Consider the following 17,541-nt stretch of genomic DNA (forward strand, 5'->3'; position numbering starts at 1 on the left):
TGGGAAGCACTGCATTACAGGATGTTGCTGGCTAACTGCTGAGGTCCTGCCATTACTGGGCGAGGTCGCAGCACATGGAGAAAGGGCACCTGGTTTGAATATCAGCATTGCCATTGTTATTTAATATTCCCAGGCTATATTTTTCTGTAAAAATGATAGTAATAGCATAAATAAATGTATGTGCACACACATACACACGTACACAGGTGGGCAGGGAGCACCCTTGAGCAGGAACAGAAGCAGCAGCCCTTCCTTTGCCATGCCTGACACCAGCTACATTCACTCGTCCACAGCTCCATAGCTCCTGGGTGAAGGACCCGTGGCTGGGAAAGGTCATCTAGGTGGCCTCTGCAAGAGGGCAGGTGGGCAGCCGGGTCAGAGCAGCTCTTCATGAGACTCCCCAAGGCTGACTGCCTCCATTTTGCCTCTCCGCTCCAGCCAGTGTGAGCGGAACCCCTGCCCCATGGACAGCAGGCCCTGCCGCCATCTGCCCAAGACCATCTCCTTCCATTACCTCTCTCTGCCTTCCAACCTGAAGACGCCCATCACGCTCTTCCGCATGGCCACAGCCTCTGCCCCCGGCCGAGCTGGGCCCAACAGCCTGCGGTTTGGGATCGTGGGTGGGAACAGCCGCGGCCACTTTGTGATGCAGCGTTCAGACCGGCAGACTGGGGATCTGATCCTTGTGCAGAACCTGGAGGGGCCTCAGACGCTGGAGGTGGACGTCGACATGTCGGAATACCTGGACCGCTCCTTCCAGGCCAACCACGTGTCCAAGGTCACCATCTTTGTATCCCCCTATGACTTCTGAGGGTACACAGGGGCACTGGGGTGTGGAGAGCTGACCTCATTTCTCTTCCCCGAAGGCTCAGCTTCGGGCACCGACTGCGTGGAGCCTCCCGCCTGTTCCCGCCCTCTCACCAGTGCACCCAGGCTTCTAGGGCAGCGTTGCACGGCGCCCCATGGAATAGCACGGAAGAGCAGCCACAAAACTCAACTGCTGCCATCACTCTTTTTTTTTTTCTGCTTTGAGGCCCTTCCCTTAGATTATGCACTAACTTTCTTAAAACTTTTTCATCCAGGGGATGGGTGGCTTTCCAAAATGCTGTGCAAATGGCCTTGTGAGTTTGAACTAGCTGGGGAGAGAAAAGGTGGCAATGTGTGTCAGGTGACTATCAGCCCTTCTGCCTTTTTGTAGCCAGGCTTGCTATGAATGAAACGGTTCTAGTCGTGCGGGGGGCCCTAGTCATGCCTCTGCGCATGTGGCATAGGAAGTGGAGTCTCCTCCCATGACCCAGCACGTTGTTCTTATCTGCCTTTTCCTCTGTGACATGCCTGCCTGCCTGCCTTCTCATCAGAGAGTCACAGGAGGGCCTTAAACCCCACGCAGATCCTTCTAGACCAAGGACCCATTGTTAAAAGCATGGATTCTGCCTGAGTTACTTCCCTTTTGAGAAATCATATCTCAAATACATAACCTGGTAATATAACTGAAAAAATAAAAGTGATTGCTCCTTCCTGCCCGCCTGACTTCTACCTGAGCATGAGACAGCCCACTTCCTTCTAGGAGGGGGTGGCTGACTCTCTTCCTGTCTGGGTTGGATACACTGGAATAAATGAGTCAGAGAACACAGAGGTGATGTTTGGGACTGTTCCACATTATAAATTTGTTTTGACCACATGGGAGATTGGTAAGGACAATACCTGGCCGTGGAGAGTTTAGGAAAATGCTTGAGTTGTCATAGATTCCATGGCCTTTTGTTTCTGATGAATTCACTACAGGGTGACGCCCTCCAGGTGATCAAAGAGAGAAAACACTGGCCAGAGCTGAGTGGGGTGTGGTAGGATGGGGTATGGGGTAGGGTGGGGAAGATCATTCAAGCTAAAACTTAAGAGGTAGCGAAGCTGTAAGAAAGTTTCATTATCTAATTACATGTCAAGCTGCTGGTGAGATTTCCTCACACATATTTTATTTAAATCTTTGTATTTGCCCTGGTATGAGATGGAGCCAGAAGTGTGTCACTAGTTCAATGATCAAGCCCTACATCAAGATGGTTTCTAAGATGGTTTATTCTTGTACTGTTGTTTGGACAAAGGTTGAGACACAGTCAAGAGTTGCTTTTGAAATGTTTCTTCTCCCATGGGCTCAGCTGCGATCTCTAACAACAGAAAAAGGACATGCAAACTAAAGTTACAAGACTTCATTAAAACATTATCCACAGCCTTATGTTTCTAAATGTAGCTATGCTGGGCCAGAAGCCTGCACACCACCCAGTCCCATGTGCACAACACCAGGCGGAAGAGTCTAAGGGCCTGGCCAGGTTCCTGAATGGGAGATGTCACAGCTGTGGGCTAGGGACAGCCCACACATCACACACATCATATGTGAGATATGATGACATATGATGTGGGATATATGTGGGATATATTGAGATATGATGTGTTCAGGGGGACAAGCCTCTCACATGCCAGAAGGTGGGGAGTGTTTGGGGAGTCTCCAGAGCAGGTGCCCTCTAAACTGGTATATGATAGGGCTTTGATGCCAAACAGCCCAGTTTAAAGCAACAATTTCCATCACCAAGATCTGCCGTCATCAAACCTGCTTCCCACTGATGAAATCACGCACCCAGCCCCGGTGCCCACAGCACCAAAGTACAAATGGCTGACTGCTTAGGATGTGGATGATGGCTGTGGACAATGATGGCTGGGCACTTCTTGTGGATGATGTGGATGATGGGTCTTTTGTGGATAATGGCTGGGCACTTCTCCCTGTGGAGTGTCTTGTTCTCTATATGCTCTCTCCTCACTCTCCTCTATGGAATCAACTTTTCTTTTGTCCTTTCAGAGCTCCACTCTGTACTAAGAGTAACTACTGGTTAACCAGAATTCATTTGCACCCCTTTCCAGGTAATATAGTTTCATATTATTTGAGGGAGGGGCTTTAAGACTTTTTATCATGCAAAGTTGCAAACATATGCAAAAGTAGAAAGAATAGTATAATGAACCCCATGTCTGAATCAGTAGCTTCAACAATGAACACATGGCCAACTTGTTTCATCTGCTATCACCCCACCTCATGATGATTCCCAATCCTATCATTTCATCTATAAATATTTTAGAATGTATCTCTAAAAGACAACTTTTAAAAAAAGGATAACCAAAATGCCATTCACATCTAAAACATTAATTCCTTAATACCTTTAAATATTCAGCCATCGTTGACATTTCTCTGAGTGGCTTATATTTTTTTGTTTACTTGCAGTAGGTCTATGCACTGTGATTTATTGATATGCATTTTAAGCCTTTTTTTAATCTGTAGCAGTGGGTCTCACACTTCAGCATATATTGGAATAATCTGAAGGTTTGTTGGAAGACAAAATATAGGGTCATTTATATTGTAGAATTTTTCACAGTATGAGTTTTTCTGAGTGCATCTCTGTCTTCTCTATTTCTTATAAATCTAGAGAGTTAGTCAGATTCAAGTTAGATTTATTTAGGCAAGACTACTTTATTGGTGGTGACAGATGCTTCCAGTAGGAGGAGCAAAATATCTGGTTGCCTCTCTTTTCTGATGTTAGCCCCCGCAGATTGCACAGATCCATTACTTCTGTAGGGATTGCAATTAATATTCTAGTGCTATTGATTTTTTCTTTGTTTATTAGCTGACATACTTTATAAAGAGAAACACACTCTCATCAGTTATTTGGTTACCCTGAGATTTGGTTTGTATAAGAAAAGTAGGATTGATTCTTGGCTTTCCTCCCTTTATTTTTCAGTTTTCAAAATGAGATGGTTCACAGGCATCTTTCCAACATGCCCTGTGAGAGTTGTTTTCTTCTTTGAGTACATTATGAACTCATGGTTGAAACATATCTGATGTTATCATGTGTGTTATCATCTGTATTAATAGTAATTACAGCTACTGTCTTTGTTTTTGCTCAAATTGTTCTATCTTTGGTTCTTGGGAGCTGCTTCGAGGTGGCTGATTCCTTTTGACATGACCCTAGTAGTCTTTTTCATCCTGTATATTTTCTGCCCCTGCCCTGAAATCAGCTGTTTTCTCCCAGTAATCCCTGGTTCCTTCTAGTGGGGGATGGTAATTAGACATCAAGGTCTGAGTGCTCAGAGTGCTCATTGGTAGTGGTTACATCATAGTTTCTTGGCTTTAGTGGCTAGAGCTAGGAAATATGTATTATTAGTATTTTTTAAGATAAAACACTACATGAGTTCATGCTGATACTTCCAATTTAATTCAGGACTACTGTGGGTTTTTTGTTAGTTAGAGGGGAGAACTGGCATAGGGACAGGGTCTCTCTGTGTCACTCAGAGTAGACTGCAATGGTACAACCATAGCTCACTGCAACCTCAAATTCCTGGGCTCAAGCGATCCTTCCACCTCAGCCTCTGAGTAGCTGGGACTACAGGTCCATGCCATTATGCCCAGCAAATTTTTATTTTTTTGTAGTGTTTTCGTTTTATTTTATTTTATTTTATTTTTGAGACAGAGTCCAGCTCTGTTGCCCAGGCTGGAGTGCAGTGGTGCAATCTTGGCTCACTGCAACCTCCACCTCCTGGGTTCAAGTGATTCTCATGCCTCAGCCTCCTGAGTAGCTGGGATTACAGGCATGCACCACCACACCTAGCTAATTTTTGTATTTTCAGTAGAGACAGGGTTTTGCCACGTTGGCCAAGCTGGTCTCAAACTCCTGTCCTCAAGTGGTCTGCCCGCCTCGGCCTCCCAAAGTGCTGGGATTACAGGCATAGCCACCGCGCCTGGCCTTGTTTTCATTTTTAACATAGCTTCATTGATCCTCTATCTGCTCTCTTTCTCTCATTCTGAAAACCTCCTTCTAAACATCACCAAAATAACTACACATTAAAAAAAATTCTTATAAGAACAATGCCAACCTTAACACACAAATGTGATAACTAAAAACAGCTAAAATCATTTTTTTTCTTCAATTCTTTGTGTCCTCAGCATTTATGCGATTAGGGACAGACAGTCAACTTACTGTTGTAAAGTTACTTGGAATGGTTCCCCTCTCTGTGGCATGCTCCAAACTAGAATCAGGATTTACTGATTATACCTCCTTCATTTTCCTGAAATTTTTAGAGATTGCTTTTTAATTTTAACTTTGTTTTATAATTATGTAAACTATTTACATGGTTCCAAAGTCAAATCTACAGAACAAAATGTATTCAGAGTTTATCTTCTGACCGGTTCCCTCCACCCTATTTCCTGCTTCTCTTCTGCTGTAATCAAATTTCCCCTTTTATCCTTCCATTTAAGCAATATAAACAAATGATAAATGATAGCATGCTATTTCACACTTTCCTGGACCCTTCTATTTTGCTTAAAATATTGGCTGTCACTCCATAGAACCATATAGTATGTTTTCCATTGTAATGCTTCATTATGACAGCATACCATTGTTTATTCGACCAGTCACTCCTGATTGACATTTGGGTTGTTTCTAGCCCTTTGCTATTAAAAATATTGCAGCAATATGCATATGTCTTTTTGTATTTTTGCCTTTGTATCTTTAGGGCCAACTTTTCCTCTGTAAGAATTATGTTATTTTCCACCCCCAACAGCAATGTATGAACATTCTTGTTCCTGAATCAAAGAAGGCCCCAGTGACGCCTCCAGTTCTCACATCTGCCCCACCCACCAAACCCTCCTTTGGAAGGACAGAGAGGCCTGAGTGGAGGGGTATTCTACAGCTAGCCCACCTGCCTGACTTGGGTATCTGGGTATCAGTCAGCTGCCACCAGGAAGAGACAAGAGGCAAGCCAAATAGATCCTGGGCACTTGAGCAGTAGAAAGTTAGCTAGGATTCTGGATGGGTTTTAAAAATCACTTTTTAAGAATTATTATACCTACAACACTAGCAAACGAAAAGAAAAATAAGCCAACAATGAAATACCACTGCAGAGTCACAGTCAACTTGATGGGTTTGTTGGGAGTCTGAACATGTGCTCAAGGAGAGAGGAAGTCCCTCGAATGGGTTGCTCACTTTCCACCAACCACTGCCTCAGCTTTACCAAGCTCTCACTGCAGGGATGGAAAGATAAACTTTTATGACTCTTAGCTTGTACATATGAAAATCTCTAAGTGTTTATGAGCTGCGTGAATATTCCTGAATGTCTAGTGCGTTCCAGGCACTGTTCTACTTGCTGAAGTTACAGTGGATAAGATTGCTGAAGACACTGACTTCATGGAGCTTACATTTTGGCAAGGGGACAGAAAATAGATGTGTAAATGAAAAAACGTGTAATGTCAAAGAGGGATGAGAACTACAAAAACAAAAGCAGTGAAAGGTGTTTGTCAGTATATAGTAAATGTATGTGTAATATATGTAATTACAGTCATCCCTTGGTATCTGCAGAGGATGGGCTCCAGGACCCCCCATGGATACCAAAATCCATGGATGCTCAAGTCCCTGATAGAAAAATGGCATAGGGCTGGGTGCGGTGGGTCACACCTGTAATCCCAGCTCTTTGGGTGGCCAAGGCGAGTGGATCACCTGAGGTCAGGAGTTTGAGACCAGCCTGGCCAACATGGTGAAACTCCATCTCTACTAAAAATATAAAAATTAGCTGGGTGTGGTGGCACATGCCTGTAATCCCAAGTACTTGGAGGCTGAGGCAGGAGAATCACTTGAACTCAGGAGGTGGAGGTTGCAGTGAGCCGAGATAGCGCTGCTGCACTCCAGCCTAGGTGACAGAGCAAGACTCTGTCTCAAAAAAAACCAGAAATGGCATAGTATATGAAGAGAGCCTATGCACATTCTCTTGCATAATTTAAGTAATCTATAGATTATTTATAATATCTGATACAAAGTGAATGCTGTATAAATAGTTGCTCTACGTTTTAAAACGTATGTTATTTTTATTCCTTTTTTCTGAATATTTTTGATATGCAGTTGGTTGATTGTGCAGAACCTGTGGGTATGGAGGGCCAAATGTATATCATCCACGTCACTTGGGTGTTGCAAACACCGTAATCGTGTGCAATGACAGTTGGATCCCATATCCTAGGAGTTTGGCCTTAGGACTCAGAATCTCTCCTGAGTGTTTGAATGAGGTAGTGGTGTAAAGCTTTGGATGGCCATATTGGGCTCATGTGCACAAGGGAAAGACAACTTGTCTACAAACAGAACAATGATGCTGATGTGGGAAGAAAGGAAACAATAGAACATAGGGCTTGGAAGGATAGAATTTAATTTTGTGTTCTGCTTATTGCTGCATAAAATATCCCAACACTTAGTGGCTTAAAACAATTATTTTATTATGAATTATCATGGATTCGGTGGGCCAGTAGTTCAGAGAGAGCACAGGGGAATAGTTTCTATTTGCTCCACAATGTCTTTGCTTCCCTCAGCTGGGAAGACTCCATGCCTGGGGGCTAGGGTTACCTAAGGGTCACTCACATGTCTGCCTGGGCTGGGATGACCTAAAGACTAGGACCGATAACTGGAACATCTACCCTTGGGCTCTCCATGTGGCTTAGCACCTAGAACAGTGTGTGTAGGACACAGCAGACATTCAGGAATATTTATGCAGCTCGTAAACACTTAGAGATTTTCATATGTACAAGCTAAGAGTCACAAAAATTCATCTTTCCTTCCCTGCAGGGAGAGCTTGGTAAAGCTGAGGCAGTGGTTGGTGGAAAGTGACCCATTTGAGTCTGACTTCCTCATATCTCTCCTTGGGCACAAGTTCAGACTCCCAATAAAGCCACCTCTGAGCCAGGTGGCCTCAGAGTAGTTGGGCTTCTAACACAGTGGCTCGTGTTACTAGCATGAGTGTTCCAGGGAACAATGTGGAAGCTACGTGGCCTTTTAGGACCCAATCACATATTGTTACCTCCACCATACTCTGTTGGTCAAAGTAGTCACAAGAAGCCACTGAGTCCTGGGAGGTGGACATAGGCCAGTGAGTACTTACTAAATTGAATTGAGCTGAGAGGTTTCAAAGGATTTTAGGGCCAATTTTCAAAACGCCACTCCTGGTTTCCTGTTTGGGTTTCCAGTGCCTCATGCAACCTGGCTTCCCGTCAGTGGGTTTTATCAGATAGCCCTGTGTCCTTTCAGTCTTCCTTTGCATGCATTCTTTTGGGTGTTCTTTTCAAACAAATGATTTCTGCCTAAAATAAAACTTACCCTCTAGTTCAGAAGTAAGATCTCCACATCTGTCACAAGGGGATACTTTGAACAATGGTAGAAACAGAGTGAGAAATCCAATGTGGGTGGTGCTGCAGGTTCACCAAGGTCAGAAGTTGGGGGAAAGGGATCACTGGAAGAGTCAAGACCAATTCATGGAGAAGTTGGCACTTGATTCATGGAGAAGTTGGTTCTTATTAGAGGAAGTCTAATGAGAAACTTAGGCCACCCTTTGTCACAAAGAGGATTTCCAACAAAACACAGCATTGGCCAGACCACAGAAATATTAGCTGACTTGCAAACAAGAGACTATGATGATGAAAATTAGATTTGGGCTGATGGGATTTTCTGAATCTGACCACGTTTAATGAGAAATTAGATCGTAGCAATCTAGTTTCTTAGCTCAGGGAGCGCTTTAGATGCATTCTTTAGGGGGAAAGTGTGCTCTGTCATATACCTTGCTTACTTATGCCAGGATTCACCTCAGCCATGCGGTGGCACTTACGCAATAGCTTGCCTTCCTTTCTTATGGTTGGCTGAGTGGCCAGACATGTTTCTGCAAATAAAGATCTCTGCCTCTTTGACTCGTTTGTCCACCTGACCCAGGCAAACCTCCATCATAGGAAGAGTTCACTCCTCACCCCTTGCTGGGGCCCTGAGTGGCAAGGTAATTTACTGCTCCCATTCCTTCATTCCTGTCCAGCTCCCAGGGGGTGCCAGACCTGGGCTTGAAAGCTGTAGGAGGCAAGAACATTGCCCTCTAGGGAGTCTTTCTCATACTAATGCTGGACTTGCTGTTATGTGAGATAACGTGGTTATGATTTAAGTAGGTTTCAGATGGAGTTCTTGTTTGCAGCCGTTCTAAGCATCCCTACAGACCTGACCTGCTGGCATCCCAGCTCCACAAGAGCAGGCATCTTGTCTGCATGCTCACTGAGGCAGCTCCAGTGCCAGCCTGTCCTGTGGGCAAGGTGATGGACAAGGCACAAAACAGTTGGCATTTGTGGTAGACATTAGCAAATTTGGCCTAATACTTCCTCCTCTCCCACCTCTGGGCCCATGATAGGCTGGCACTCTGTGCCCTCGTGGGAGGGCATGTCACTGAGACCAGTGGTGGCTCAGAAATGGTGCCAGTCTCTTCCAGGCCAAGGAACTCACAGATGCTGGGACCCCCAGAGTTCTCTCTCCTCTCATATGGCCAATGGCCCCACTCAGTGTGGAGGTTGCCCTGTCAGCTCAGGTGTCTGAGTGATCACAGTGAACTGCTGATCTATGAGGCACAAAAGCATGAGCAAAAAATGGTTCTTTGTTGTTTTAAACCACAATGATTTTAAGGTTGTCTGTTGCTCCAGCATAACTATCCTGACTGACTCAGGGCAGAAAGGGAGAAAATAAAATGACAAGATCCCTCTATCATTGATGGGGAGATTATGCTGTGGACTGAGGAACAGAACACATTTGACTCTGTGCACCTGCCTTACCCTTCCCCCAAAATTAATTTCTTCTTCTTCTTCTTTTTTTTTTTTTTTTTTTTTTTTTGAGACAGGGTTTTGCTCTGTCACCCAGGCTGGAGTGCAGTGGTATATTCTCATGCCAGTGCAGTGGCATGTTCTCATGCCACTTCAGTCTCCACCTCTCAGGCTCGCACGATCCTCCCACCTCAGCCTCCCAAAGTGCTGGGATTACAGGAGTGAGCCACAGTGCCCAGCCTGATTACTTAAATTGCAAAACTCAGGCTAGAATGGCCTGTATCAAAGGTTAGAATATCCTTTCCAGCATCATGGAAGAGTCTGATCAGGGCCAGCCTTAGCTCTGTCCCAGCCTCTTGCCTGAGGAGCATAATAGGCTTTGTGTTGTAGGCTGAACTGTGTCTCTCAAAAAGATATGTTTATGTCTGTATTAGTCCGTTTTCATGCTGCTGATAAAGACATACCCAAGATTGGGTAATTTATAAAGAAAAAGAGGTCCAATGGACTCACAGTTCTGCCTGGCTGGGGAGGCCTCACAATCATAGCGGAAGGCAAAGGTGAAGCAAAGGCATGTCTTACATAGCAGCAGACAAGAGGGAACTTGTGCAGGGGAACTCCTCTTTATAAAACCATTGGATCTCCTAAGACTTATTCACTATCACAAGAACAGCATGGGGAAGACCTGCCCCCATGATTCAGTTATCTCCCACCAGGTCCCTCCCATGACACATGGGAATTGTGGGAGCTACAATTCAAGATGAGATTTGGATGGGGACACAGCCAAACCAAGTCAATGTCCTAACACCTGGTACCTATGAATGTGATGTTATTTAGTAATAATGTCTTTGCAGATGTAATTAGTTAAGATGGAATCATCATACAATGACTGGCATCCGTAAGAGAAAACACACACACACACACACACACACACACACACACACACACAGAGAGAGAGAGAGAGAGAGAGAGAGAGAGAGACAGAGAGAGAAACATGCAGAGAGAGAGAGAAAAGACAGAAGCAGAGATTGGTGTCATGCTTTCACAGCAAAGGGATGCTGAGATTGCTGGCAATCACCAAAAGCTAGGAAAAGATAAGGAAGGATCATTCCCTGCAGCCTTTGGAGGAAGTGTGGCCCTGTATATACCTTTATTTCAGACTTGTAGCCTCCAGAACTGTGAGAGAATGCCACCTGGTTTGTGGTATTTTGTTCCAGCAGCCCTAGGAAATGAACACACCTAGTATCCCAACCTCCCCTCCAAACACCAGCTGAGGGTAAATCACCTATTGCTGAAAGGGGTCATCCCCATCCTAGGGAACATAGACAGCCACCAACTGCCAACCAGTCACTTCACTTCAAGTCCACATCCTAGCTCAGCCATCCCTTTCTTTGCTAATGATCTTGGAGCAAGATGATGACTTTATTAGTGTAACTGCAGCTAAATTTAAAGCCAGAGAGGAAAGCCATTTTGCAATGAGGGCAGAGTCATACTGGGACATTCAGGGAGCTGATTTTCAAACATCGTGGACTTTTTTCTTTTTCTATTTCTGAAAAAGACATGGACTAATTTTATAACTAGTAATGACATGATTCTACTCACTTCAGCAGTAAAAAGATGAAACAAGGGGCTCAATCAGCATATTTCATAAAGAGATTCATTGACTCCAGGAACAGGAAGGGCTATGGACTCTTAATCCCCACCCTGGATTTGCCTGGAGAACAGCAAACAAAATCAAAGCCATTCTCTCCTCAGAATCTGCAGGATCAAAAACACTCCCTCCCTGAAACCTCCTCTTCCAGGCCTGCTGTCTCCCTCCTCTGTAACAATATTCCTGCAGCAGCTGATTCGGCTCTTACCCCTTTCTGTGGTCTGGATGTTTATGTCTCCCCCAACCACCTAAATTAATACATTGAAACCTCATCTCCAAGGTGATGGTGTTACCAAGTAGGGCTTTTGGGAGGTGATTAGTTTATAAAAGCGGAGCTCACATAAATGGGATTAGTGTCCTTATAAAAGAAACCCAGAGGCTGAGTGCGGTGGCTCATGCCTATAATCCCAGCACTTTGGGAGGCCAAGGTGGGCAGATTGCTTGAGGTCAGGAGTTCAAGACCAGCCCGGCCAACATGGTGAAACCCCCGTCTCTACTAAAAATACAAAAATTAGCCAGGTGTATTGGTAGACACCTGTAATCCCACTACTTGGGAGGCTGAGGGAGGAGAATCGCTTGAACCTGGGAGACAGAGGTTGCAGTGAGCCGAGATTGCAGCACTAACTCCAGCCTGGGTGACAGAGTGAGATTGTCTCAAAAAAAAAGAAAGAAAGAAAGAAAGAAAGAAAGAAACCCAGAGTGTGTCTGCTACCTTTCATCATGTGAGGACACAGTAAAAAGGCACCATTTATGGGTCATGAAACAGGTCCTCACCAGACACCAAACCTGCTGGAACCTTGATCCTGGACTTTCCAACCTCCAGAACTGTGAGAAATAAATTTTTGTTGTTTATTAGTCACCCAGCCTAAGGTAGTTTATTATAGCAACCTGAATGCACTAAGATACACCCTCAGTAAAGCCAGGGAAGCCTCCCTCCACTATAGTCTACCAGTGAGTCAGGCTAACTAATTGGAATCTCTGCTTTTATTAACTTCAGGTGACATTACAGAGCAAGTGAAGGACTATGTGGGTTCCATCTGCATGCTAATTAAAGCCAGGCTCTGCCCTAGGAACCAGGATGCATGACCCACATTTCCTTTTCCTCTTGGACAAACAGAAGGGAAAAAATTATAATCAAGATCAAAAGTGAGTCAAAAGACAAATGGACAGGAATTCCATAGAAATGCCTCCCAGGTCAAGGCGGTCCCCCTGAGAAATTGCCCAGGGTGTCTTTTCTCCTTTAGCATCCCTGCATGCAACTCTCCCTCTTTGCATGGTGACAGACAGTTGTACGGTGGGCAGAGTCATTTCCTGGTGTCCATTTCTCTCATTTCTCTCATCGTCACTTTTCCAGTGACGGAGTGAAAAATTGCTCTATTGGCAGCAAGGCTGTCAGGGAGAACTGAGAGTTGAAACAAGCCACAACTTTTCAACATTGCTGCTCTAGAGCTAACCCATAAATGGCACCCATTCAGAACATGAATGTCACAAATCATCTAAGCATAAACTCTCCTAACACCCACTCACTCACACAGCCAGACAAGAGTACTGACTCTTCCAGAAACTCTCTAGTTTACAAAATCTCACCCATCCCTTCCAGGATCATCCTATGACTTTCTCTGGTCTCAAATGCCCTGTCTGTCCCCAATTCCCTCCTGTTAAGATGTTCCTCAGTTCCTCTCTGCTATGGTTTGAATGTGCCCCCAAATGTTCATGTGTTGGAAAATTAATCCCTCTGCCCTCATGAATGAATTAGTGTTAGCTCTGCCCTCATGAATGGATTAATGGGTTAATGAGGCCTGTGTGGTCATAAATGGATTAATGTCACTATCACAGGAGTGGGTTCGTTATTGAGGGAAGGGCTTTATTATAGAAGCGAGCTCTCTCTGGCTCTCCTGCTGTTGCCCTCTCACCATGTAATGCCCTTCACCGTGGTATGATGCAGCAAGAAGGCCTCACAAGATGCCAGTTCCATGCTCTTGAACTTCCCAGCCTCCAGAACCATGAGCTAAACATTTTCTTTATAAGTTACCCAGTCTGTGGTATTCTGTTATAGCAACAGAAAACAGACAAAGACACCCCCCATATGCAACCTCTTTTGCTGCAGCAAATAGTAAACCTGACTTTGTTGACTATATGTGGGTTCCTGGTGGTCTTTGACTGAGAGACATCAACTCCCAACTCAAGCAACCAGTGCTCTCAACTGCAATCCCTGATCCACTGGAGTGTGGTGATCAGCTGTGAAGTGTGTATTAGGTAATTGGTGGCTAGTACTAATTAAGATTCTCAAGCTTGGAAATAACAAAGGAGTATGGCTTGCCCAGGAGGAACTGTGCAGAGCCATGGGGGACACCTCAGATGTTCGTGGGAATGTCACATAAGGGGTGGCATGTATGCAGCTGGCTTATGCATAGGGAATCACTAGCTACATACTTGGCCATTCTCCTTCATTTCTGCCTTTGTCTGGGGAATTCTCGAATTACCTGAGCAGAAGGACACATCACCTCCATCTATGTTGTTTCATGGATAAGGCGTAAATGGTTTTTTTTGTTTGTTTTTTGTTTTATTTTGTTTTTAGACATAGTCTCGCTCTGTCCCCCAGTCTGGAGTGCAGTCGCACAATCTCGGCTCACTGCCACCTCTGCCTCCCAGATTCAAGCTATTCTCCTGCCTCAGCCTCACAAGTGGCTGGGATTACAGGTGCACCACCACCCGGCTAATTTTTGCATTTTTAGTAGAGGTGGGGTTTCGTCATGTTGGCCAGGCTGGTCTCGAACTCCTGAGCTCAGGTGATCCACCTGCTTCAGCCTCCCAAAGTACTGGGATTACAGGCGTTACAGGTGTGAGCCACCACACCCAGCCTAAATGTTTTTTAAAATCCTATTTATTCTCTTTCACTTAAAGGTCACCATTTTTCATATTGTTGGATGGAAAAAAGCAGCACCCATTTAAATGTTTAAATGTCAATGATGAATATTGAGCAAGTGCCTTTTATGTGCTTGATCCTTGCAGAGAATACAGCTTTGGATGGGGCAGGTACACTAAATGCCCTTCCACAGCTTCCAGAATGTCAGGGAGGACAATTTGAGACAAGGAGTGTGAGGGTTGCTGAGATCAAAGGAGGGTGGAAAGCGAGATGTACCCTTGCCTGGTTCACTAAGGCTGCCTCTGACAACAGAGGAAATGTGAGTGAGGCCTCTGAGGCAGGAGGCAGGGCCCAGTGACTGCTGTCCTGAATCTCTTTACAAATCCTGTGATTTGACCTGGAGAGTTCTGAACAACAGACACTTGCTCATTCATGGGTGGGCCCGGAAGGCCTGTTTCACGGACCATCGTGCAGCTCCCACACCACAGCCTTGTCACAGGTCCTTGCCAAGATTTAACAGAACAAAGGCCGTGGGCCCCAGCAGTGTCTTCCCAGGTGAAGATCTCTCAGGTCTCGCATTTGTTCCAGGGTACCCTGTTCCCTGCCTTGCCGTTCCAGCTCCTTGGCAGAAGGCCTGCACATCTTATTTGAAAAGTCAAGGGCATTTTTCCCTTCTTTTTTTTTCCTCCCCTGGTTCAGATGTAGGTGTAGGACACATCCCAAAGAACACAGCCCTCCAGAACTGCAGGCAGTCCAGAGTGGCAGGAGCCAGGGGAGGTTGGGCAGGTTTCTGTTTCCTGAGGGGCCACTCACATCATCTCCCCAACTTAGGGAGAACATAGAATCCTTCACAGCTACACAAGGACAGGCATTCAGTCTCTGAGATAATAAGGAATTCACAGCAACCAGGCTTTCCTCCTTCATGGACTGAAATGACTGTTTTATGTGCATTTGGCTGAAATAAGGAGCATTTCTGTTGATTCCAGGTTTACCTAACTGAGTTCAGCTACATGAGGAAGTTTAAATTGGCTTACAGTCTGTGGGCATATGGAAGGCTGAAAAGAGCTGGTGTGTCAGCAGATATGAGGCTGAATCACAAATTCATTCAGGAAGTCCAAGATTAAAGTCTAGTTTATATTATTATGTAACAAATATACCTGCCAAGCAACACATCCAGGCAAATAAATTTGGAGTATTTTTATGTAGGATACAGCTGGGATACAAAGCTTGTATATATTTAAGACTTATGGGAATGGTAAATAAGACTACTTCTGTGGAATCTCTTAAAAAGGTAGTTTAAAAATTTGGAGCATGGAGTAAAGGTCCCAAATTCTTATGAACTAGGAGCTTCCTGCTAACAGTCATGTGCACTTTATCTGTTAATTGTTTACTGTCTCATTCCTCTGAGTGCAATTGCGTTCCCCAGGAAGATGAGTCTCTGGACATGCCAGGCAAGGAAAGGTGATTTTGAAATAAAAGTACTAGAAGACGACATGTTCAATTTTCATACCAGTCATAAATACGTATATAGTTCTATTTATATATACACTTCTATTTATATATTACATATATAGATATGAAATATATTTAGAAATATATATATTTTTAAGTGCAGGGTTTTTTTAAAAGGTATTGTGATGTCAAACCACACTTAAAAGTGAGTTAAGGTTTCTACCTCTGGAACAGCAGAGTAAAAATCTTCAAAAATCCACTCCTCTATGAAAGACATAAAAACACTGCCAAAACAGTCAAAAATCAACTTTTTCAGAATCTGGAAATTAACTGAAGGCTAGCAACAATTTGAAGAGAATTTATTCAAGCAAAACAGCTGAATCTTGGTGAAATGCCTGTGGCATTTTAACTTCTCTAATGTCATTCTCCTCTCCCCAGCTCCACAGTATGAGCCTTGAAGACTGAAAGCCCTGCAACCTTAACAGCTATGAAAACTAGTACCTACTAGTCACTGGAGTGAGTAGAACAAGTTGGGAGCTTCTCAAAAACTCCACCCCCCACTAAAATTCACTATTTGATCTCACAGCTTACTGAAAAGCTACCTTCTCAGGGCTTAGACTCAAGAGCTCACTCTGTGTGAACAGCCTTACCATTTGTCAAAAACAATCAGTAGCAATTGTTTAATATTGCAACTGGAGGTGTTGTTACCTCCAGAGCCAACAAGAGGCTGAGCAAAAAACAAAAACAAACAAACAAAAAAACAAAAAAACTGGGAAATGAAATATCTACAGGGGGCTTTGAAAAGCTCTGACACATCCCTGGGAATCTAGAAAACCATGCATGTGCAGGGATGAGAACATGCCCAAGAAAGACCTGAAAGGGTCCTAAGTTCTTATCTCAGGCCAGCTTGAGGTACTTCTCATGCAGGAAGTAAAGCCTAAGGCAGAGTTGTAAATTCTCAGCCAGAATATTGAAGGTATGTCCCAACTCACACACAGAGTTCCTCTATGAAGACTGGAAGACTCATATGTTCAAGGTATTTGAGAAAATCTCTGCCCAATCAAGGGCTGTCTATTAAGCTAACTAAGCGCTGACTTCAATAGCCATACAGAATAAAAAAATACAAACTTTACACACTTAGTCCAGGAAAAACACTAAACAAACAGCAATGACAATAAGCAGAAACAAGCAAACCCTGGATGGAGTAGTATGATTTACAAAGTTGACAAATTATATTGTTTAAAATGTCCAATTTTCAATAAAATATTATGAACTTACCAAAAAAAGGGGGCCCAAAGAAGTATGCTCCCATGCATAAACAGTCAATACACACTATCCCTAAGGAAGCTCAGAACTTATGTATTAGTCCGTTTTCATGCTGCTGATAAGGACATACCTGAGACTGGGAAGAAAAAGATGTTTAATTGGACTTACAGTTCCACATGGCTGGGGAGGCCTCAGAATCATGGCAGGAGGCAAAAGGCACTTCTTACATGGCAGTGGCAAGAGAAAATGAGGAAGATGCAAAAGCAAAAACCCCTGATAAAACCATCAGATCTCATGAGACTTATTCACTACCACGAGAACAGTATGGGGGAAACTGCCCCCATGATTCAAATTATCTCCCACCAGCTCCCTCCCACAAAATGTGGGAATTGTGGGAGTACAATTTAAGATGAGATTTGGGTGAGGACACAGCCAAACCATATCAGCTTACTAGAGAAAGACTTTAAATCAGCTATTATAAATATTTTCAAAAAAAGTAAAGAAAACCATGTCTAAAGGAGGTTGTCTCATCAAATAGAGAATATCAATAAAGAGATAGAAACTTTTTAAAAAAACAAATAGAAATATTAAGTTGAAAAGTATAAGGCTGAAATAACAAATTCACAAGAAGGCCAAGAGACAATTTGAGCAGGCAGAAGAAAGAATCGGTGAATT

At 44.0% G+C, this 17,541-nt stretch overlaps 1 protein-coding gene across 9 annotated transcripts in view; it reads left to right on the forward strand.

Moving 5' to 3' along the window:
- The window catches only part of FBLN7 (fibulin 7), a 106,324-nt gene that overhangs the window by 48,311 nt on the left and 40,472 nt on the right, over positions 1-17,541 (forward strand). For 3 of the 9 annotated variants that reach the window (XM_011510585.2, XM_047443318.1, XM_011510587.3), the window contains 2 exons: positions 439-778; positions 867-5,508. The exons of 2 other annotated variants lie outside the window; for them this stretch is intronic. In XM_011510585.2, the coding sequence (XP_011508887.1) occupies positions 439-778; positions 867-941 (415 nt within the window). In that variant the 3' untranslated portion in view covers positions 942-5,508. Of the gene's footprint in view, positions 1-293; positions 5,509-17,541 lie in introns of those variants that run through there. 4 more of the 9 variants (XM_006712260.3, XM_047443319.1, NM_153214.3 and 1 more) reach the window with 2 other exon arrangements.

Source organism: Homo sapiens, chromosome 2, assembly GCF_000001405.40.
Source record: "Homo sapiens chromosome 2, GRCh38.p14 Primary Assembly".
Classification (NCBI taxonomy): Eukaryota; Metazoa; Chordata; class Mammalia; order Primates; family Hominidae; genus Homo; species Homo sapiens.